The 25055-nt window shown below is 37.6% G+C and overlaps 1 protein-coding gene across 4 annotated transcripts, besides 3 other annotated features; it reads right to left on the bottom strand.

The window, feature by feature from the left end:
• Positions 1 to 516: 516 nt before the first annotated feature.
• Positions 517 to 22391, bottom strand: C1D (C1D nuclear receptor corepressor). 4 transcript variants are annotated; one of them, NM_001190263.2, is made up of 6 exons: positions 22345 to 22391; positions 12448 to 12524; positions 6560 to 6706; positions 5731 to 5797; positions 5375 to 5430; positions 517 to 2440 (listed from the first exon to the last, which is right to left on the bottom strand). In NM_001190263.2, the coding sequence occupies exons 3-6, from the start codon at positions 6695 to 6697 to the stop codon at positions 2276 to 2278; spliced, it is 426 nt and encodes a 141-aa protein (NP_001177192.1). In that variant the 5' UTR covers positions 6698 to 6706; positions 12448 to 12524; positions 22345 to 22391; the 3' UTR covers positions 517 to 2275. The 4 variants fall into 4 exon arrangements, with proteins under 4 accessions (NP_001177192.1, NP_001177194.1, NP_775269.1 ...); NM_001190265.2 differs by having other exon boundaries at positions 22332 to 22391; NM_173177.3 differs by lacking the exon at positions 12448 to 12524.
• Positions 21959 to 23158: an enhancer, noted in NCBI's record as "BRD4-independent group 4 enhancer chr2:68289704-68290903 (GRCh37/hg19 assembly coordinates)". NCBI's record gives its function as "activates an origin of replication core promoter dependent on BRD2, P300/CBP, MED14 and CDK7 cofactors, and independent of BRD4, by STARR-seq in HCT116 cells {active_cell/tissue: HCT116}" and the evidence as "EXISTENCE:reporter gene assay evidence [ECO:0000049][PMID:35650434]".
• Positions 22080 to 22489: an enhancer, noted in NCBI's record as "active region_15941". NCBI's record gives its function as "activates an Ori minimal core promoter by ATAC-STARR-seq in GM12878 lymphoblastoid cells {active_cell/tissue: GM12878}" and the evidence as "EXISTENCE:reporter gene assay evidence [ECO:0000049][PMID:35858748]".
• Positions 22242 to 22742: an enhancer, noted in NCBI's record as "H3K27ac hESC enhancer chr2:68289987-68290487 (GRCh37/hg19 assembly coordinates)". NCBI's record gives its function as "activates a minimal SCP1, AML or CMV promoter by ChIP-STARR-seq in naive H9 embryonic stem cells {active_cell/tissue: H9 hESC(naive)}" and the evidence as "EXISTENCE:reporter gene assay evidence [ECO:0000049][PMID:30033119]".

Genomic DNA, 25055 nt, shown 5'->3' on the forward strand with positions numbered 1-25055 from the left:
TTACTAAAAGGATTTCCCACCTTACAACTATGAACAAGAAAAAATTTGTACTTAAAATAATATTAAAATGCAAGATCTCATTATTTAGTACAAGATTAATAGACTATAATTCTAATCTTAAAAATATCTATAGATGCAACTTCTCCAACTTGTTAATTCCCAAAGAGATTAATAAAAGATGTAATTAACATCTAAACTTAGAGCAGACTATCATGTGGAACAAACTATTTTAACAAGAACTGCACCATAGTCAAATAGATCAACCACACACATCACCCTTTATGGTTCTGAATAAGGTTAATGAGCACAATTTGTCATAAATTTTCCCATAACTCTGAGAAACTGAATTGAATAAAAAGACTATTTTTTTCTTAACACCTTATAAAGATAGGATAAAGGCCGTAGTTATCGTCTTTGGAACGTTGCACCTAGCACTGTATCTGGCAATATAAATGTCATTAAGTATATTTGTCAAAAGAATAAACAAACAACAAGCAAATAAGCAACCCAATGCACTACAGCCATTCAGCTCCTTATTACGTGCTAAGTATTTAAAATTATACATAATAAAATGGAATATACTCAAACTTTTATTTCTACCTAATAATGAAAGAATTACTCACTTAAAAGTTACACAATTTAACAGAACGTAGAGGTGCACTTTCATAAACCAATAACTTAGCTAAAACCAATAATGATTTTCTGCAATTGTATAACATTTTTCATTTAAGCTGTTTTTCTTTTATGAAATTAGAAAATATACAGAAATCCAAATAAATTTCTTTGCAATAAATAACACAAAGACAGGTACACTACACTTGATCTTAACAGTAACACATTTCTCTCATGAAGAGGTTATTTTTAAAAATAGCTAGAAATTTGGAGACAAAGGCAAAAAAAGGAGTAAAATAACTATAAATGTTCACTAATGTTCTTCCACTTCAAAAACTGACATCAGAGACAGAAAAGACCTTCTGCGTCTATCAGTGACTTCCTCTTCATGTGTCATAGAAAGAGTTCAACATGCTTTACAAAATCCATTACATTTTAAGACCATTTCCAATATCTGCTATCATAAATCAAGAAATCCATTTATTCAAGGTTACTTATGGAGAATTAATCACACAGAAAATTTTAACAACTCCTTTTTCAAAAATTAAAGTACTTTACTATACTTGGCATTCCTACACATAATGATATGGATTCAAACACTGAAAGCATTAAGGGCATATAATTAAAATTCATGGGCTTAGACATTTAAAAAAAGGTTTACTATGTAGTACTCTCTGTAACTAATATTCCAGAAAAATAAACCACAATACAAACACAGTGTAATCTCCTTTGGACTTCTCATCTGCTTAAGTGGCATTAGGTAACTTAAGAAGTTGTTCCAAAACACTTGTATGTACTTGATACAGCCTCAAAAACATGAAATAAAAAAAATCTGAAAAAAAATGAGATGAAAAGAACTGTGGACACCATGCATCAGGAACAAAAACTCAAGAATTTCTCTATTTGTGATGACTTCTAAAACCTATCTTCCTAATTTGGAAGGCAAATTTACTCAAAAGATAAAAATACACAGGTCAGTTATACAACATTTTCAGCCTTTATTGAGAGTACAGTCATCATGCCAAAATTCATCCATCAACATACAACCTTATTTCCCATCTAAAGTTAATGAGAATGTATTTTATTTTAAATGGGACATAGAGGCAACATGCCAAGAATTAAAGTACAACCATAAAGTTTTAGTTTCACACTTTGAATATCAACAAAGCAGTAATTCCTAAAATCATGAAAACATGATAAAGTATCTATACAGAAAAAAATGAACATTTAAGTCATTTCACGCTTTCTTAATATCATATAGTGAAAACAGATGTACCTATAATTTCAGCCTACAGATAGCATACTTCATAAGGTCATTATTCATTTAAAATAGTACAAATGTTTACAAAGAACATTTCACTTAAATTTCACAGCTGCTTATAAAATGGTACTTGCAAGACTGACCTATATAAAGAAATAAGAGTCTCATCAAGAGATGGTAAATTATAAATATATAATATATCACAATGTTAAAATCCTCAGTGCTAATCAATAAAGATAATGATCTTTGGAGAGGAAAGTATTTAGCTTTACATATTTACTGTGAATTTACATATTAATAAGAAACACATTTAAACCTTGCCCTGCCACAGAATTATTTTGCGGGGGGGGGGGGGGGGGGGAAGATGTACTTTTTGAATATGTGTACATCAAAACCAAAAAGTTAACTTTTACTTTTTCCTTTATTGGCAACTTTTGATGCATTTTTCGATTTTGGTTCCCAGAGGGCATTTTTTACAAATCTTGAAGCTGCACCTCTGTCCAGCTTGCCAGCCTTTTTCTTGTCTGTTATTTCCTTGACTCTGTTCATATATACTCTGATTCTTTCCTTAAAGATAAAAAACAAAGGCAATAGATTTACTAAGCTATTCGCCACCACTGAATTTTATTATACTGTACACCTTGGTTAAATTCAACATATATGTATTTATTGCCTATTAAAGTGCATGGTGCTAGGAAATGCAAATGAATAGGATAAATACGCTCCCTGCTTGCCTGGAGTTCATAGTCGGAGGGTGGGGAAAGACAGATGTTAAAAAGTCATTTCAGAAGTCTTCTGTTTCCAAAGAGTTAGAATCACACTAAGACATTACTCCAGAAATAAACATCGAATTGAAAGTTTCTAGGTGGTTATACATTTTTGAAAAACACCATTAACATAAATCTACATATTAACTGTTTTGTATCTAAAGTAAAAAACCGGAGCTTTCATATACTTGCAAAATACAAACTAAATTCTCCTGAAATTTTTCTAAACAGGAAATACATGAGGTAGTACTTAACTATCTTTTCACATTACCATCTAGTGTAACAATTAGGGAGAATGAAAATACAAATTATTCAATTTTATAATTTTGGTAAGTACATGAAATTTTCTAATAAAATATACAGTTCTAATCAGACTTTACAGGGTGAGAAACATAATATGTTGCTGTACCACTGTGAATCTTCTGAGACAATTAATCAGCATAAATGGCTATCTTACGCTTCAAATGAAGAAATAAAGTTGATGACAGCCATAAAACAGCAGAGTAAAAGACTGATCACTGCTTAAAAACAAGCTTTATTAAAATAATCAACATAGTTAATGCAGAATCTTAAAATGTTTTCATTGTGAAAGACTGGCAACTCTGCTCCACACTCTCTAGTGACGTCCCATTTCTGTCTGAATAAAAAAGCACAGTGCTTATGATGGTGGATACTAGCTACAGCACACACACACCAACCTGCCTTGGGGTCTTTGCCCTGCTTATTCCTCTGCCTAGAAGGATATTTCCTCAATTACCCATACGGCCACTTCCTCTCTTCCTTCCAGTCTACTCAAATGTTAACCTTGTCATTGAGGCCCTGACTTCAGCATTTAAAACTGCAGTCCTATCCAAGCACTCCAGTCCCCCTTACCCTACTCTTTTTCTTTGTTCCCATAACTTTCCAACATACTACATATTCATATATATTTCTTATTTGTTTACTTTATTATTTGTCTCCCTCCATTAGATACAGTCTGGTGTCTGCCACAAGGGCAGGGATCAGCATTACTCACAGAGGAATCATCTCTCACTTGGAAATAATGCCTAGCTCCCAGTAAGCACTCAAATATCTGTTGAATGAGTAAACTGACTTTTCCCATTTGTGATACATACGGCAAATAAGTTTCCTATCATACACTAAGTCTGTGATCAATTAGTAACATCTACGCAAGGTCAGAAAAGGGGAACAGGCTCTGTAATCCCAGCACTTCGGGAGGCCGAGGCGGGCAGATCACGAGGTCAGGAGATCGAGACCATCCTGGCTAACATGGTGAAACCCCGTCTCTACTGAAAATACAAAAAATTAGCTGGGCGTGGTGGCAGGCGCCTGTAATTCCAGCTACTCGAGAGGCTGAGGCAGGAGAATGGTGTGAACCCGGGAGGTGGAGCTTGCAGTGAGCCAAGATCACGACACTGCACTCCAGCCTGGGCGACAGAGCAAGACTCCATCTCAAAAAAAGAAAAAAAAAGAAAAAGAAAAGGGGAAGAGGTTTATGCATGCTTTTTATTCACCAACCCTTATCTAGAATATTAATGTACTACTTCAAAAGTAGATTCTGAGGTAGAAAGAAAACAAATGACCTTGTCCTTTCACAAAGACAGTATCAAGTATTCCAAATAACTTCATGTTAATGGAAAAAAGAGAAATTGTATGCAAAGTCTATATTAGGAAGTTGAAAACAGATGATACAAGCCATCATTTTAAAGGTTTAAAGCCGTATCACTGGTCAAACCAAGACCTGCATATCATATTGCTTTATACTTTTGCTTTAAATATTTTTCACAATTGTTTTATTTAAAAATAAATTTATTTTCCCCCCCAAGAACTTCAAAATAAGGAAATGTCTTAGACTACATGTTGAAAAACTGAAGACAACAGATCTGGCTTACTCATTTTTAAAAAGTAAAGGACCAAGTGCTTTACTAAGCTGTAAATAACATACATATCAACTACCCTAAAACTTGAGAACAAGAATACAATGTCAAGTGTATTTCATATCTATATTTGCCTTATATTTTATAAACACAAAGAATCAATTTATTAATATTCTTATTCATAAAACCAAGTCAAGAAGGTAACCATAAGTTTGATTTCTAATTTTTCTCTTCAAATTGAATGATTTGATTTAATTTTTGAAGTCAGCAAAAACTCCAAGATACCAGACCTTATATACTGTACTTATACATCTAAATGGAATACAAAGACAAACCTAGAAGATTTATTACAGGTTGTAAATATGTCTAATGCAGAATTACTGGACAGTACACATACAGCTGGTGCCAAAAAAGCTTTTAGCTTTGTTGCTGAACTGGATTCTTTACTGCTGAGAAAATGAATTAATGGAGGAATTGAAAAGGTGGGAGGGAGAAACTTTCCCGTCTTTGCTAGTAAATCAACTAGAATATACTTTTAAGAACTGTACAGAAGTTTAAAAAAAAAAGTAGTTCTAGAGATAAACAGGATTTCAAGAATTTATAAGAAAAATAATATGTAAGTTATAAATAATTACTAGAATCGTAACATTTTCCCATTCCGAGATTTATATAATATATGGAATACCAATTATCTGAAAAAGGTAAGAGAAAAAAAAACCCAAAGATAATAAGGTCTGGCTCACTTTCATAATTTCAACTCGAATTCTGTTCTCCCTAATTTGTGTGACAAAGGTAGTGTGACAAACCTCAGGAATACAACAACAAACACATAAAATAAAAAGAAATTAAAATCTTACCAATTCCTGTTTTACTGGATGTTCCTTAGGATTAACTCCTTGGGTTGCCAAATAAACTACAAGAGAAAAATTTCATGGAATAAAATGGTGAATGTATTAATTTAAAACATTCCAATTAAAGAAACTAGTTATTCACAAAAAAGGAAAGTCCTACAAACAATTAAACTTTAAATTATTCAATTTCCATGTAATACTAAATCTATGTGTGGCTCACTGGCATCTAGATTTAAAAATAAGTATCTATTAAAAGTGTTATAAAGTATAATTGTAAATAAATTGTTAGCATTTTAAAAATAAATCATCTTTCACACAATAAGTAATTTGCTTTCTAATTAATTCCAAAGTAACACACATACCCCAAAACATTGAATTTAATGTGTATGCAGAAACCAAATCCACTTTTGCTTGTTCAAGTGGATCCAACTGTTAAAAAAGAAAGAGAGAGGGAAAGAGAGAAAGTGAGACAGAAAAAAAATACACAAACTTTGAACACCATCTGATAACATTTGACTTTTACCAAGTACAATGTATCAAAGAAGTTTTTTTCACTTCATATAATCCAATAACCAAATGATCTGAAAATAATTTGTAAAAAGAAGTTTTCTTAATGAGTGACTTTTGTCCACACATTTTCACCTTAGGGTATCATCTTTAGTTAGACAAGGAAAGTGCATAACCCAAGAAAAATTCTTTTGAATTATTTTAATTTCGGGAGTTACGATCTGGGCTTTGTAAGTCAAAAGTAATTTATCAATATAAACATTGTACATGATGCATTTATGTATAAGAAGCAGGCTTAGGCAATACGAAAGACAGAAGAAACATAATGAGATTTGTTTTAGACTGTCAAAGTCAATTTACTGTTTTTGTCCTATAGGGTTTCCAGAAACCCTGATAACATCATTGTAATACTTAAAAGGTCAAAGATAGAGTCTGTCAAAAAGAATACCGTGAGTGCTCCTTTTTTTTTCCAAAACTAAGTTAAAAACATAGTTAGGAGGTATTTCCTAAGGCTGGAGTTTTCTTTTGTTTTGTTTCCCCCCTAAAAATACCCAAACACTAATAAAATTGAAATAAAGGGGAAAAGGGGCATAGGTCATTAATCTGTTTCTTCTTCCACATGTTTCATAAAATAGCATTCTGTTTTATGAAATTCATTTTTAGGAAATTACATTTTTAAAATACCTTCTGCAACAACTCATTTCTAGAAACAGACATCATGGTCTTCAGCATCTCATCCACAGCACCAATGGAATTCTCAAACGCTGACAAATACTCGTGAATTTCTACTGGATAGTCTTCATTAATTTCTTCACCTGCCATTATGGCTGACTGGAAAAAATTAAATTCTTTGAATTCATATTAGAGACAGAGCTTGTTCTTTAGTTTCCAAAAAAAAAAATCAATAGGTCATATCATGTATTTCAAAGGCACTAAGAGTTAAAACCTGAAGACAAATCTTTTTAAAATTTAATTCTAGATTAACTACATTCCAATTTGTCCCCTTCTTAAGTTTCTTGGGGGGCTGTGGAAGAAGAACCAACCGAAGCCCACTAATGCTATGCACACCAAACCCTCAACATTTTTGTTTTGTTTTGTTTTGAGATGGGGTCTCCCTCTGTCGCCCAGGATAGTGCAATCACCACTCACTGCAACTTCCGCCTGCTGGGCCCAAGCGATCCTCCCACCTCTCAGCCTCCTGGGTAGCTGGGACTACAGGCCCATTGCCACCATGCCCAGGTAATTTTTTTGTATTTTTACAGAACTTTTACAGAACTAAAGACATGATGACCAAACATGAGATAGCAATAATCAAAATCCTACATCTTAAAAACTGTTGAATTAGCAAAGCAATTAAAGTTTGATAAATAGATCCCCTAATGATTGCTGAAGAAATGGTAAGCAAAGCACTTTTTTTAGAAAAACATGTATTTTAGTCCTTCTAAATATAGGTGTTGATCTAGGAGCATATTATATTCAACTAAAAAAGTAAAAATCTTAGGTCTAAAATACGTATCACAGAAATCATTTTTCAAGCCTATATATATTTATATTCCTTAAGCTTCTTTAAAATATTAATAAGAAATCCAAAGAGTCTATAAATCATATAAAGCCCATAAGCAGAAAAGAGGAAACTTGGGGGAAATAAACAATATGGTTTTCATTTGTGCTAGTGCATACTCTGACAGCCCATGCTTTAAAAATTCACCTATATCAATGTATTATTAAAGTATCTAAGTCCAAATTTTAGAAGCAATTCCAAGCCATAGGTAACATCTCTAGAATAAAAAAAATTTTTTTTGTATTAACAGAAATACCTCCTTTATCACATAGGTAAGGAGAACAGCATGAATGTGTATGACAGCAAATAGCATTGCAGAATGGAAGTAAAGAGACTTGGGCTTTCTGTCTTGATCACTGACTTTGTCACCTGAGATAAATCATTGAATCTCTCTTGGCCTCAAAGTCCTCATCCATAAAATAAGGCAGCTGGTCTAATGATCTGTAAAGTTCCTTATAGTTCTAAATGTTATGATTACTTTTAAGTTTGAAAAGTACTATTTAAATATTTAGTGACAACATATCAACATTTTTTCTGAATGAGTATATTCCACTGAGACATTTGGTTTCATTAAAAAAATAAAGTGAAGTCTATCTATTACTACTTGAGTTGTGAAGTTACTATCCAACTACTGTGCAACCAGCAGTTAAGGCGATAAGAAAACAAAACTACACAGAAAAGAACTGATTTCCAATTTCAAAAGGTTAACTGAAAATATGCACTTGCCGCTCATCCCTCCCCAAATCCCTACAATATGACAGATGAAATAGAAAAACATGAAAATAAAAATGCTGGAAACCAAGAAAAGCACAGATCTACCAGCAGACTTCAACAGTAGAAACTGTGTAAGCTAAAGAGCAAATTGGGCTGGACACGGTGGCTCCCGCTATAATCCCAGCACTTTTGGGAGGCAGAGGCAGGTGGATCACCTGAGGTCAGGAGTTCGAGACCAGCCTGGCCAACATAGTGAAACCCCATCTCTACTAAAAATACAAAAATTAGCCAGGCGTGGTGGCGCACGCCTGTAATCCCAGCTACTTGGGAGTCTGAGGCAGGAGAACTGCTTGAACCTGGGAGGTGGAGGTTGCAGTGAGCCAAGATTGTGCCACTACACTTCAGCCTGGGCAACAGAGTTAGACTGTCTCTCAAAAAAAAAAAAAAAAGAGCAAATGGGATCAGACTGCAAACAGGAAACAAAGCCAAGAAACCTTACAAACAAAAGAGAATAAGAATTTAGAAATAACTCCAAGAACAGAGCCATAAGCGCTGAAAATAGCTAACCTAATTTCCAGATCTGTGAAAGGACAGCTCTAGCATTTATTGCCTAGATAAAGGTATAAGTATAGGGATATACTGCAAAGAAGACTTGGTTATTTTCTCACTTTATGTAGAATTTTGAACCAATAAATTTGAAAATGTAAATGAAAACAATGATGTTCTTGGGAAGATATCAACTACCAAAACTAAAAAGAAGTACATAAACCATACAGATCATTAACCACAGAAAAAGAATTACACAGTAGTCAAAGACCTACCCTACAAAGAGGTTCTAGTCCTAGATTTTACAGGTAATTTCTTTCAAACCTTCAAGAAACAGTTAACTCCTATGGTATTTAGCTGTTTAAGAATACAGAGAAAGATGGAAAACCTTTTTCATAACATACACAAAAATAAACTCCAAATGAATTAAAAATGTAAACGTATAAACATATTAGATTATATCAAATATTTACATCATCTAAATGAAACCCAAATGCTATAGGAAATGGCTGACAAACTTAACTGCATAAAAACATTTTTGAAAAGTCGTACATGGTAAAAGGATACCATAAGCAAAGTTAAAAGGCAAGAGACAGCCAGGAGAAAGTATCTGACAAAATATCACAAAGAATTAGATAGACTAAATAAACAGTTCCTAGAAAGCAGTAAAACAAATTAAAATAATGAAGATATCATCACCTATCAGATTGGCAATAATTTTAAAGATTAAGAATGTTCAGTGTTAGAAAGGGTATACACTGAAAGTGGAATATAAATTGGTACAGGTTTTTAAAATGCACATACCCTTTGACTCAGGAAATCCTTTTAAGAATCTAGCCTATAAAAATCCTTGCACATGTGCTTATAAATTAAAATGTCCTCCTCAAACTTGTCTCTAAACTTACTCCAGTTTGTCATGTATCAAACTGTCCGTCTGCTGGACTATTACCCATAAGTTTAAATGTTTTATTTCTCCATCTAAGAAAGAAACAAAAAAAAAAAAAATTTCTTGACTTCATATCACCCCCCAGCTAAGGCCCCATTTTCTCTCTTTTACAACAAACTCCTCAAAAGAGATGCTTATACTAACAGTCTCTAATTCCTTTCCTTCCATCCTTTCTCAAATCTCCTACAAACATACCTTACTTTTCTCTCAAAATTGCACTTGGCAAGGTCACCCACACTACCACATGGTTAAATTCAATGGTCAATTCTCAGTTCTCCTTGAGTGACACTGTTGACTGCCTTCTCTTGGTTTTCTCCGTTTCCTTTCTATCTCACTGGCTCCTTTCTTGGTCTCTTCGATGCATCCTTCTCACATCCTCAGCCCCTTAACCAAGTTTGAAGTGCCCAGAGGCTGTTCCTGACTCTCTTCTCTAATTTACTCCCAGGTAAACTGAGGGTTTTAAATTGCTTTAGTAAACTGAAGACTCCAACATTTGTTTCTCCAAACCTGACCTCTCCATTGAACTTCATATTTACATTTCCAGCTGCATACTCAATATCTCTGGTTGGATGTCTAATAAATTCTCAAACAGAACGTGCCCAAAGCCAAATTCCTAACCTTGCCTACTGCAGTTTTCATCATTTCATTTCACGGCAACTTCAACTTTCCAATTGTTCAGTCCCAAAATTTCAGAGTGATCCTTGACTACTCTCTCTCACTTCATCTTTAATACACACCCAGAATCTAGCCATGTCCTACCACCTCTACTGCTACTATCCTGGTCCAAACCACCAAACCACTATCCTGGTCCAAACCATGCCTGAATGCCCTCCTAAATAGCCTTCTTGCTTCTGGCCAAAGTCTATTATCAAGAATACAGAGAGACCATTCAAAATGTAAATAAGATTATGCCATGCTTCTGCTCAGAAACTTCCAAAGGCTTGCCACCTCATTCGACATAAGACAAAAATCCTTACAGTGGGCCCGGCCTGGTGGCTCATGCCTGTAAATCCAGCACTTTGGGAGGCCAAGGCAGGAGGACAGCTTGAGCCCAGGAGTTCGAGACCAACCTGGGCAACATGGCAAGACCCCATATCTATAATTAAAATACATATTTATAGGCTGGGTGCAGTGGCTTATGCCTGTAATCCAAGCACTCTGGGAGGTCAAGATGGAAGGACTGTTTGAGCCTAGGAGTTCAAGACCAACTTGGGCAACACAGCAAGACCCCAACTCTATTTTTAAAATCAAAAAATAATAACTATTTATCTTTTAAAAATCCTTACAGTGGGTTCAAAAAGCTCAACACAATCTGCCCTGACTGCCCGTCACCTTCTGTGACTTCATCTCCCACTCTCCCTTGCTTATTTCATTCCAGCCACATTGTTCTTCCCCCACGACATCAGGCACATGCCTACCTCCCTTTGGGCTTCTCTCCTTCCTAGAATACTCTATTCCTCTCTTCCTCCCTTACCAATACCTTCAGAGCTCATTATGTTACCTTCACCAGATCTCCACTCAAATGTCATCTATTGGTATCTCACTCTTAACCACCCCATTTTAAAATGCACACCCCTCCCCCACACTCCCTATCTCCTCCCCAACCTTACATTCCTCAATATCAACTAACATATATTTATTTGTTGCCGGTCTACTGCCAAAAGGCAACTGCATGGGAGCAGGAATTTTTGTGATCCGTTCACAAGCACTGCCTGACAGTCAATACATTTGTTGAAATAAACTATAACAAAATATTGGAAATAATCTAGATATTCATCGACAGGGAAACAGTTAAATGAATTACACCATATTCATCCTTGAGAATATTACATGTCTTCTAAAAATAAAGAAGTAAATCTATATATAGTGACACACAATGAGAAGGAAAAAGTCAGAGAACAGAGAACATTGTATATAACACATAATGTGCCTAATATATGCCATTTGGTTTTTAAAAAAAAATTGTATATACATACATGTAGAAAAAGGTCTGGAAAGAACATACAAAAAATAGACATTTTCTCTGAAAAGAGACAAGGATTAGGGAATAGGTTCAAAGCAGACTCATTTTTTTAACTCTTCATTCTTCATTGTTTACATTTCAAAAAGCACATATTAAATTTTTAATAAAAAACAAATAAAGGCACTTAATAAAGTATTTTGGCTCTTAACAAATACTGTATGTATTTTTAAAAAACAAAAAAAGGTCTTTATTTAAATGTGAATTTTTTCATCAAATTTTCCTACGAGAAAATATTTCCTTTCTTCAGAAGAACATAGTAGAGATTTTTCCTGCAATTATTCCCTGTCCCTAAGCCCCAATAAACAAGCAGTTATTTATTGTTAGAACAGGTTAGGGTGAACACTGAAAGCATGGTAGTAAGTAAGAATAACTGCCCTCATTAAATCTGAACTGAGCCACTTGCCTTTTCCCTAACTAAAAAAATAAAGACAAGGGGGACTAAAAAATAAAGGCTCTTCTATTATGAGAAATTCCTCCTAATTCAATTGATTTCTACTAACACTTTATTATAGGCAGCTGCTGAGTATTTATTCCTTCCACAGAAAAAGCGCAGAAATTTCCCTCTGTCCCCTTAGCTACTCTGACCCCAGGATCAAGCAGTGACTCTACGATATCAGCAGCAAACTCTTGAATAGCACTGATTATGTGCCAGGCACTACTCTAAGCATTCCACATGCACTTGTTCATCTAAACCTCACAGATGAATAAACTGAGCCAAAAGAAGTTAAAGAACATGCCTAAAGTTGTACATGTTAAAATTTCCAAAGAAGAAAAGAACTCACCCAGCTCTGCTCCTCACCCTCCTCCGGGGTTCTATAGGTACTCCTTGCCCTTCCACATACTCCTTCTAAAACACTGGCTGCAGAGGTAGAGACAGACGGAGAGGGCATGAGAAAACTTGCTTCTCTTCACCACTCAGTAAGGTGTGGCTGAGACTGAGTACCTGGGTTGCGGGGATGCTGCCCAGTAACCCTAACAGATGTTACTGCCACTCAGTCCTTCCTCTCACTGGTTATACAGAAGCCAAAGTACCGATAGGAGAAAACAAGAGTGCATAGCATCACATACAGAACTGAAGTCATCAGCTACCTCTTTCCTTTAATTCTCCACTTCAGGGTGGCCAATCCAGGCAGAAACCTGGGAGGCACCCCAAATCCAATCAGTCCTGTCAATATGGCTCCCTTAATCTCCTTACACCACAAGCTTTCCTCTATTCTCACTGACTAGATTATTTCAACAGCCTTTGAGTAGTGTCCCTATTATCAATTTTTCTCCACTCCCAGTTTTAGAATATTACAAAATATGCTTTAAACAGTCTGGTCATGGTACTCCTCTGTTTAAAATTCTGCAACAGTTCCCTCCCACATGGAAGACAGTTCCAAACCCCTCAGCGTAGATGCAAGGCCCATTATGATGTGGCCCTTGCTTGTCTGCCTAACCTCATCTTTCATGGCTCCCCTCTTCCAATCCTAGAGCTGTGGCCATGATGGCAGTTTTCCAAATGTGCCGTGCTCTCTCACTCTCAACTTTCACCTGTGTGATTCTCTAAGCCTGAAATGCCCTTCCAACTCCACTTTTTTCAAACGCTGCTTATCTTTGGAGGTAAAAAATAGGTTCCAGTTCGGCCAGTGAAGACTTCTCTGCATGCTCTCCTTCTATGCTCTCTGTCTGGACAAATACAACAACTATAAGCTGTCATGTCACTTAAAACACTATCTCTTAATGTATTTTTATTTACTTGACTTCTCCTTTGACTACATGCTCCTTGAGGGGCTGTGTCATATTCATGTTGTATCCCCAGTGGCTGACACACAAGGTGACTATAACTCTCAATTTGCCCAAGACAGTTCCACCTTACGCCTGTTGTTTCAGCTTGCCATCAACTCAGCTCCTTTCTTTCTCAGAAGTCCCAGTTTGAACAAAAAATTATATGGCTACCCTAAACAATGCAAGTTCTCTGACCCTTACTACCGCTTCCCATCCCATTTAGCTGGAGAACAGAAGCATCAGAGGAGTTACCCTTTGCACCAGTCAGGTTTCAACTAGAGAAGCAGAACCAGTAGGAGATATATATTAAGAGAGTTATGGCAAGAAACTGGTTTACATAGGGCAGGCTATGAAGGGAGGAACTCATGCTGGAACTCTTGGCTACTAGCTGAAACTGCTGTCTACAAGTGGAATTTCTTCTTTTTTGGAAGGAAAACCTCAGCTCTGCTTCTAAAGCCTTTCAACTGATTGAATCAGGCCCACCCAGATGATCTAGAATAATCTCCCTTACTTAATTGATTATGGATTTTAATCATAGCTTCAAAATACTTTCACAGCAACACCTACATTCATGTTTGACTAAATATCTGGGGGCTACAGCCAAACCAAGTTGAAACATTAAAAAGACAATCACAGCCAGGCACCATGGCTCACATCTGTAATTCCAACACTTTGGGAGACTGACAGGAGGATCACTTGAGCCCAGGAGTTCAAGATCAACCTGGGAAACACAGACAGACCCATCTCTAAAAAAAAAAAAAATATTTTTAATTAGCTGGGCGTGATGGCATACACCAGTAGTCCTAGCTACTCAGGAGGCTGAGGTGAGAGAATCACTTGAGTCTAGGAGTTCGAGGCTGCAGTAAGTTATGATTACACTACTGCACTCCAGCCTGGGCAACAGAGCAAGGCCCACATCCTTTCTTTTTTTTTTAAAAAAAAAAAAAAGACTATTGCACTAAGATGCATTCCTAGCATCAAAAATATTGTTGCTCTGACAATACTTTCCCACAACAAGCTTATTTTGATTATCAGGTTCCCAAGTAACAGAACTAGACTTCAAATTCTAGCTAACAAATGTAGAAGAAATGACAACTTAAAAAAGAATCACGACTTTGCAACGCCTAATGAAATTGTAGGTTTAGTCAATGACCACCAACAGATCACTAAAAGTAGGTGAAATGCACATATTATGAACCTCCTGATGTGAGGCAATATAACATACACAGCACCATCTGCAAAGCATTCCCAACTCCCAAAAAAGCTGAATCTGAACAATTAAGCCTACAGAGCTAACTTCCATTTTATAGGAAATCCAAAGGATAGAGGAACAAATTAACACCACAAGAAAGCAAACAAATATGGAGTGAGAAATACAGTACTCTACAGGATAACTGACCAGGTTTCCATAACAAGTCAACAGCATGAAGCAAAAAAAAAAAAGTGGGGGAAGAAAGACAGAGGAAGAAGAGATTTAAGAGATGTAACAACCAAATGAAATACACAGACCTTGTTTGGATCTTGATTCAAATAAACCAAGTGGAAAAAGATAGTTCTGTGAGAAAGAAATCTGAACATGGACAAAGTACTAGATGACACCAACAAATTATTGATAATTCTGTCATCTATGATAATAGCAATACAGTTATATAAGAAAATTTCCCTGTCTTTTGAGGATGCACACTGAAGTATAGAGGGGTAAAATTATGTAACATTTTGAATTTGCTTAAAAAAAAAGTAGCCTCCACAAATTATTACAACTTTGAGAGCAAAGATAAGAACCTATGTACATTATTTCTATAGTGAAATTAGATGGCTAACTCACAAACTAGCTTTTAGAATACAACTCCGTTCATATATAGGAGAATAACTAAAGAGAAGGTGTCGTCTAGAATATTTAAGCAGCTCCATTACATCTCATTTCAATTCCAAATATAACTGGAGTGAGGGAGAGGAAGGTTACTGGGTGCTCACTACATCTGTGATAGTTGCTGAACATATAGTCTCAAATGAAGTTTGTATTACTAACATTTCCAACAAAAGGCTCACATTCTAGAGTGTCTATTTATTTCAAGAGTATCACAAAAATCCTTTTGAGACAGAGTCTTGCTGTCTCGCCCAAGCTGGAGTGCAGTGGCTCAATCTCAGCTCAACGCAACCTCTGCCTCCCAAGTTCAAGCAATTCTCCTGCCTTTTACAGGTGCGTGCCACCATGCCCAGCTAATTTTTGTATTTTTTTAGGAGAGACGGGGTTTCACCATGTTGGCCAGGCTGTCTCGAAATCCTGACCTTGTGATCTGCCCACCTCAGCCTCCCAAAGTGCTGAGATTACAGGTGTGAGCCATCGAGCCCAGCAAATTCCCTTCTTTAAAAAAAAAATCCTAATTTCTTGTATTTTTACCTGGCCCTTAAAAATGCAGGCAAAATAAACAAATAAACAAACACCCAAGACTAATGTCAAATAAAAAACTAAAAAAAGACATATGCAACACAAAGATTTTTTTAAAGCCTCTATGAATCAATTTAACAATAACAAAAAAAGTACACACAACCCAAAAGAAAAATAAACAAGAAAATCAACAGTTCACAAATAATCCAGATGACCAATAAGCATAAAGAAAGCTACTCAGCCTTACTGATAATTAAGGAAACATAAATCGCTAAAATATGATGCCATTTTCATCTGTCAAATAGGGAAAAATTAAAAAGATTAATAGTACTAAAATGGACAAAGGTGAGCTGAGAACAGCCTCCCATTCACTATTAGTCAGGGTATAAATTAGTTTAGCATTTTTGTGAGGTAATCTGCACTATGCTTCAAAATCACATATGTACACATGCTTTGACCTAGCAATTTTACTTCTCAAAGTATATTTTAGCGCAAGATAATGTTTAAGGACTTCCACTGCAATGATCTTTAAAACAGTAAACTTTAAAACAGAACAACCCACACATCCATTATTAGAACCTGGTTAAATAAATTATGATATGCCCACCTATTAAAATACTCTGCAGTAGTGAAAAGGTACGAGGTACAGCTTAGAAAGATTCCTAAGATATATTAAGTGAACAAAAGTTGAAGAACAGCATGTATAATACATCCTATTTATTTATTTATTTATTTGAGTCAAAGTTTCGTTCTTGTTGCCCAGGTTGGAGTGCAGTGGTGCGATCTCAACTCACTGCAACCTCCCCTACTGGGTTCAAGTGATTCTCCTGCCTCAGCCTCCCAAGTAGCTGGGATTACAGGCGTCCACCACACCTTGCTATTTTTTTTTTTTTCGTATTTTTAGTAGAGATGAGGTTTCACCATGTTGGCCAGGCTGGTCTCAAACTCCTGATCTCAGGTGATCTGCCTGCCTCAGCCTCCCACAGTGCTGGGATTAGAGGCGTGAGCCACCACGCCCAGCTCATCCCATTTATTTTGAAGAAAAAAAGATATATGAATGTGGAGGCATATTTGTATGGTATATGCATGTAAGTTTTCTTAAAGGATCCAAAAGAAGCTGTTAACTGTGGTCACTTCTGGGAAACAAAAAGCAAGAAAGTGAGGAAGTACATTTTGTTACACTCTCTGAATTACAATTTTTAAAGAATAAAATATGTAACATATTATAATAATACTTAAGTTTATAAATAAAAACTTCGATCATCTCAAATTTTGAAATTTACTTTATTCTCAAACATACCAGATAAAAATGTCATTTCCCCCTACTTAGCAGCAACAACTAAACCTATATTCTTTACCACTGTTACATTCAAAGAACCATATAAATGTGTTTTCTACACCTAAATTGTCTAGCCACCAGGCGGCTATTTTCCTCTATTCTCATGGTACAAAAGCCTCCTCTGGCCTGCTTGCTACATGGCCATACCTCCCAGTCAACTGGTTTAAAGATGCTTTTGCAAGTTCTCATCTTCTCTTTCTGCCCCCAGCCAACCATTCTAGCTCTAGGCCTACTGAACATTCATTCCTAACGAAATTCACAAAAGACATAAATTAATGCTACCCAACTGCAACAGGTCCTCTGTCAGTTGCCTGACAGTTCCTTTATTTATCCCTGATACCTCCTCAGCACTTATTGCAAAATGTCATGTAAATGAGTAATATTTACTGAGCATTTACCACATGCCAGACACTAAGGACTCTCTTATTCAATAGATATTTAATTAGCCTCCATGATAGGCAGCCCTGATACTTGGAAGATAATAGTGAGCAAAAACTTGCCTGCTCTGCACTTACTGTTTAGTGTGGATGATAGACATTAATCAAAGAATCACAGAAATATAAAATTACAACAGTAATATGAAGAAATAAATCATGCTATGAGACTATAAACTAGTGTACATGACAATCTGAGGGAAGACAGAAAGCTTCCTCAAGAAAGCACTCGATGACAGAGATGAATTAAGCAGACAAAAACTGTAGTGCGGGCAGAGAGAGTTCTCACAACTCTACGACTGGGCACTAATATTAGCTTCACTTTACAGATGGCACAACAGAAACAGGTCACAGGGCTGGTAAGTGGTAAAGTTCGGCAGAATGGAACTCAAATCGAATGGAGGAGGAACATCCCTCACAAATCCCATCAGTGGATTTGTGTGGGATGCTCTCTGGACAAAATCTTTAATACAACATATAAGGTTTGTTCCTCCCTGAAAATCTATTCCTCTAACCCTTCCAGCCTTAACTCCCATCTTTACCCTATTCCCCAACATCACACTCAACTTCTGTTCCTGTCACTACTCCACGTGACTAGAATCTCCGATTTCCTTAGCAACATTCAGCAGGCCTGGAGCTACCGAACATGGGGCATTAGCAAGTGGCCACAGAGGAAAGAGGACTGACAAAAGCATCTTTAAAACAGCTAACTGGGAGATGTGACCATGAAGGAAGGGAATTGAGGTCCTGTCATAGTCCTTTCCCTCTACTTGGAATACCCGTGTTCCTCCGTTTTGCATTGCTATGCAGGAATACCTGAGGCTGGGTAATTTATAAAGAAAAGAGGTTAGATTTGGCTCCCAGTTCTGCAGGCTACACAAGAAGCATAGTGTCAGCATCTGCTTTTGGTGAGATAAAGGGGGAGCAGGCATGTGACAGGGCAGGAGAAGTGGCAAGAGAAAGAGGAGCTTCCATGTTCTTTTAAACAACCGGCTCTAGGAGTGAACTAATAGAGTGAGAACTCAACTCATTACCTCAAGGACAAACCAAGACATTCAATCTGCCTCCATGACCCAAATATCTCCCACTAGGCCTACCTCCAACACTGGAAGTGACATTTCAACAAGAGATTTGGAGGAGACACATACCCAAATCATATCAACCTCCTCTTCATAACAGTCTCCATTTTCTTGGCCTAGTGAAACTTATCAATCCTTTAAAACCCACCTCAAATGCTCCCTCCTCTATAAAGGTGTCCATACCTCCCAAACAAAAGTGGTCTCTTCTTCCTCTGCTCCCAAGGTTCTCTGAATATAACTGTAATACAGTTATCACACTGGTGTGCAACTATCTGCTTGACTTAACATTATCACATATCTATCAATAACACTCCTTAAGTTCTTGATAAATCCAAAGGTGTCAATCTTCATTTCACCTGATCCATCAGCTGCACCTGACAAAACTGAACATACTACTCTACTGTAAATTCTACAACACCAGACTCAAAATTGTCCTTGTCCCTCACTGGCTGCTCAGTCTGTCTCATTTGGTGGTTATTCCTCATTTTCCCAACTTGTTAAAATGCCTAAGGACTCAGGCCTTGTGCCCCTTCTCTTTTCTGTCTACATTTACTCCTTTAACGACTGTCTCCGGTCTCACAACTTTAAATACCATCTGTTCACTGACAATTCCCAAACGTCTGTTTCCAGCAATGACCACTCTGAAGTCCAGAATGAACATATTCAACTGCCTACTCAACATCTCCACTTAGATGACTAACAGACATCAAAAACTTATCATGTCCTTAACTGAACTCCGAATCTTCCCACAAACCTGCCCCTCCCACAGTTTTCTACTTCTCAGTTAATGGCAATTCCCTTCTTCTAGTTGCTCAAGCCCCAAACTTTGACAATAACCTTATTCTTACAATTCACTTTCAATCTGTAAGCAATTCTGTTTGCTTTTCCTAGAAAATACATCTAAAATTAAACTGCTTCTCCACCTTCACTTCTTTCCAGCCAGTTAAGATGTTATCATCTCATCTGAACTACAACACCTCCGTGATTAGTCTCCTGGTTTTCACCTACCCCACCCCACAGCAAACTATTCTTAAACACAGCAGCCAGAGAAGATTCTATTAAAACGTGAGTCAGGCTGGGCGCAGTGACTGACGCCTGTAATCCCAGCACTTTAGAAGGCTGAGACAGGCGGATCACCTGAGGTCAGGGGTTCGAGACCAGCCTGGCCAACATGGTGAAACCCTAACTCTACTAAAAACACAAAAAATTAGCTGGGCATGGCGACGGGTGCCTGTAATCCCAGCTACTCCGGAGGCTGAGGCAGGAGAATCGTTGGAACCCAGGAGGCGGAGGTTGCAGTGAGCCGAGATTGTGCCACTGCACTCCAGCCTGAGCAACAGAGTGAGACTCCAAAAGAAAAGAGGGGCGAGATGGGGTGGGGCAGGGCGGGCAAGGGCAGAGCAGGGCAGGAAAGGAAACAAAAGAAAACAAAAGACAATAAAGTAAAATAAAATAAAATAAAACAAACCTAAGTCAGATCATGTCACTCCTCTCCTCCTACCTTTCCATTGGTTATTTACTCACTGGGCTATTGCTCAAGGGAAGATTCATGTCGAGGCACATTTTGAACTCCACATCACTAACATAATGTCTTGTCATGTATTAGTTAGTTAGCAACTATTTGTTTACTAACTAAAACCAATCAAAGTAACCTAAGACGTAATTTTGGAAACTCTTAATATCAGATTACAGTTTGAGCTTACAGATACTAGAAAGTCACCACATGGATCCAAACAAACATACGATAATGTACATTCCAGGGCTCTTCCCATCTCTACACCAAATAATTATACACAGTTATGAACTAAGCCAAAGAACAAATCCAACATGATTGTTTTTTGGAATTTGAGAGCCATTTGCTGTTGTTGCACCAGAATTCTATTACTGTAATGAATTACTGTAATGACTTTTTCGCACTGCATTATCTTAGGAGAAAATAACAATGAAATGTACACACAAGTTCTCAATAAATATTGCTGTCTTGGGCAAACAGTGACTCCATGTTAGTGTTGTCTGTAACTCTCCTTCAGTCCCACAGTACAATTCCTGAGTAAATATAGACTTCTTCCTTTTCTAAAAAATATATTAACATCTAAAAATAAATTTATCCCAAAGTCTAATAGGAGAGTATATAAATTACGAGGATATTGCTCAAGATTGAGATGAACAATTACATTAAATTAAATTCACTTCTATTCAAAGTTTAATTCAAAGCATTTCCAAAATTACAGCAATCAAGCAGCAAAATTACCTTCCAAAACATATGGAAGTTGATTATTACAATTATCTTATTTCTGAAATAAGAGTATATAGTGTTGTTGCACAGATTAAATAAACTAGATAAAAGCCATTAGAACGGGGCCTGGCTCAGTTAGCACTCAATACATTAGATAGTATTTTACTAAAAGTGAAAATTACCAAATACTCTAATCCAATGTGAACTATTTAGAGCCATGCTTGAAGGGTCAACTTTGGAAACAGTAGCTGAGATAATACATATGAAGAGCCATTTGAAAAGGTAAAAGCAGTTAAGAAAAAAATTACATTACTTTTGAACTGTGATACATACAACACAGCTAACTGAAGGCAGCTGTAGTATCTTTTGACTGAGAATTTTATTTTGAAAAACCGTTATTCACACTTGTCACTATCTTTCAACAAAACAATGAGTTCTATCATTTCCACCAAACACAAACATTTCTCTGTACTTCAATAGGGCTAATCTGTTGTTTTTGAATCAAAAATACAGAGTTAAATAACTAAAAGTATAACTGGATTGTTTGTAACACAAAGGATAAGTGCCTGAAGGGATGGATACCCCATTTTCCATGTGATTCTTACATATTGCATGCCTGTATCAAAACATCTCGTGTACCCCATAAATATATACACCTATGTACCCACAAAATTTTTAAATTTAATTTTTTAAAAAATCACGGTTAAGTCTTGGTTCAGTCCACCATCAGACAGTCCTAATAGGTTAATAAGTGGATAGCAAACATCTCATTGCGACAAATACATCTTTATCAAGCCAAAACTGAACTGTAGTCAGCAAACATTGAGGACATTAAAGCTATTTTGAAACAAGTTTGAGTTACACTGAACTTATCCGGGTCATCAAGAAAAACTGCTCTCTTGGATTACCCACTACAGATTTCAGCTAAAGGTCGAAATTAGCCCACTATCTCAGATGAGCTAATACTGCAGCAGCAGGCAGTCTGTGAATGTGAATGATAAACGGAGCTAACACAGTAAAGTTACTCCCCTAGACGTTCCACTTTAGCCTCTCTCCCTAAGCAAGATTGAAAACAGCTGAAAATTGTGAAGACTTCAATGTTTTTTGATTTTTGTTTTTAATTTCTTCGTCTTCCAAGATTTGAGAAGGGGGTGGTTAACAAACGAAGAAAAAGAGAGAGACCGGAGCAAAAGAGAGAAATGAGGGGCCGGGGTAAGCCAAAGCCTGCAAGCAGCCCCAAAACAAGCGGAAGTGGGGGACCTGCCAACAATGCTGCCCCAACGAAGAGCTGTGAGAGACTGCATTCCTGGAAGGCTACGCAGCCAAACTCCGATTTTCTCAGTCTGCCCAGAGGATGACAGGGGAATCCCAGGAGAGGAAAAGCGGAGTTAAACAGGAGCAGGAGAAAAACTGAAACTACACCTTAGAAAAATACCTCACGGCCTTCGACTCCAGTCTCCCGGAAAGCGGTCGGGCAACGATGACGACAATGACGCGCCGGCTCTGCCCCCGCCACGAGCGGCGCTTCCCGATGATCTCACGCTGCTCGCCACGCCCCCTGCTCCTTAACTCTTCTCCAAAGGCAAATCTCATTTTGAGTAGCTCAGACCCATGTTGTGGGAGACGATTGCGGCGGCACTCGGAACTTTTGTCTACCTTTGTACCCGGCTAACACTCACCCCAAATACAGGTTGAGTGTATTTAACCAGGAAAAAAATCTTAGTTATCGAAACTTTGTTCGGGTTTTTACTTTCCCAGAAGCTTTTTTCAGGGCCCTCATTCTTTCTACCCTTTTATTGTCTGCCTCTAGATGAGCCTCTTAGAGCAGCTTCCCAGATTATCCGTGGGGAAGAACAGGTTCTTTATTAGATTATCCGTGGGGAAGAATGGGTTCTTTATTTTTCCAATCTGTCAGTAAAAGGTACTTCTATAAAATACAGTAAAAATGAATTAGTAGAAAAATGGGGAAAATATGTGCAAAATACAAGCCCAAATTTTTTATTAGTTTCAAATAAATGTAAAATTGCATTTCAATGTATGCAATCAGAACAAACATAATAGAAAATAAAGGCATTAACAGAAACTGTACATACTGTTCATTGAAAGTGTAGTATAAGCGATTGAGCATTGTCTTAACATTTGTAACTTGTCATTCCACGGCTGTAATTTGATAAAAAGTTATGCATGAAACAGTTGTCCGTATATTAAATGCATGTAAAAGCATTTTGAACAAGCACCATGTATGTAATATTTAAAGTTTTGGGGGAGGTTCCAAAGTGGCCGAATAGGAACAGCTCCAGTCTACAGCTCCCAGCATGAGCAACGCAGAAGATGGGTGATTTCTGCATTTCCAACTGAGGTACCGGGTTCATCTCACTGGGGCTTCTCAGACACTGGGTGCAGCCCACAGAGCAGGGCGAGGCATGACCTCACCCGGGAAGCACAAGGGATCAGGGAATTCCCTTTCTTAGCAAAGGGAAGCCATGATAGACGGTACCTGGAAAATTGGGACACTCCCATCCTAATACTGTGCTTTTCCAACGGTCTTAGCAAACGGCACACCAGAAGATTATATCCCGTGACTGGCTCAGAGGGTCCCACGCCCACGGAGCCTGGCTCACTGCTACCACAGCAGTCTGAGATCAAACTGCAAGGCAGCAGCGAGGCTGGGGGAGGGGCGTCTGCCATTGCTGAGGCTTAAGTAGATAAACAAAGTGGCCAGGAAGCTTGAACTGGGTGGAGCCCATCGCAGCTCAAGGAGGCCTGCCTGCCTCTGTAGACCCCACCTCTGGGGGCAAGGCATAGCTGAACAAAAGGCAGCAGAAAGTTCTGCAGACTTAAATGTCCGTCTGACAGCTTTGAAGAGAGTAGTGCTTCTCCCAGCACGGAGTTTGAGATCTGAGAACGGACAGACTGTCTCCTCAAGTGGGTCCCTGACCCCCGAGTAGCCTAACTGGGAGACACCTCCCAGCAGGGGCCAACTGACACCTCATACAGCTGGGTGCCCCTCTGAGATGAAGCTTCCAGAGGAAGGATCAGGCAGCAATATTTGCCATTCTGCAATATTTGCTGTTCTGCAGCCTCCGATGGTGACACCCAGGCAAACAGGGTCTAGAGTGGACCTTCAGCAAACTCCAACAGACCTGCAGCTGAGGGTCCTGACTGTTAGAAGGAAAACTAACAAAAAGAAAAGACATCCACACCAAAAACCCATCTGTACGTCACCATCATCAAAGACCAAAGGTAGATAAAACCACAAAGATGGGGATAAATCAGAGCAGAAAAGCCGAAAATTCTAAAAATCAGAGCGCCTCTTCTCCTCCAAAGGAATGCAGCTCCTCACCAGCAATGGAACAAACCTGGACAGAGAATGACTTTGACAAATTGAGAGAAGAAAGCTTCAGACGACTGGTAATAACAAACTTCTCCGAGCTAAAGGAGGATGTTTGAACCCATTGCAAAGAAGCTAAAAACCTTGAAAAAAGATTAGACGAATGGCTAACTAGAATAAACAGTGTAGAGAAGTCCTTAAATGACTGATGGAACTGAAAATCGTGGCACGAGAAGAACGTGACGCATGCACAAGCTTCAGTAGCCGATTTGATCAAGTGGAAGAAAGAGTATCAGTGATTGAAGATCAAATGAATGAAATGAAGCAAGAAGAGAAGTTTAGAGAAAAAAGAGTAAAAAGAAATGAACAAAGCCTCCAAGAAATATGAGACTTTGTGAAAAGACCAAATCTGCATCTGAATTGTGTACCTGAAAGTGACTGGGAGAATGGAACCAAGTTGGAAAACACTCTTCAGGATATCATCCAGGAGAACTTCCCCAACCTAGTGAAGCTGGCCAACATGCAAATTCAGGAAATACAGAGAACACCACAAAGATACTCGTCGAGAAGAGCAACTCCAAGACACATAATTGTCAGATTCACCAAAGTTGAAATGAAGGAAAAAATGTTAAGGGCAGCCAGAAAGGTCAGGTTACCCACAAAGGGAAGCCCATCATAGTAACAGCTGATCTCTCGGCAGAAACTCTACAAGCCAGAAGAGAGTGGGGGCCAATATTCAACATTCTTAAAGAAAAGAATTTTCAACCCAGAATATCATATCCAGCCAAACTAAGCTTCATAAGTGAAGGAGAAAT

Source organism: Homo sapiens, chromosome 2 (assembly GCF_000001405.40).
Source record: "Homo sapiens chromosome 2, GRCh38.p14 Primary Assembly".
Lineage (NCBI taxonomy): Eukaryota > Metazoa > Chordata > Mammalia > Primates > Hominidae > Homo > Homo sapiens.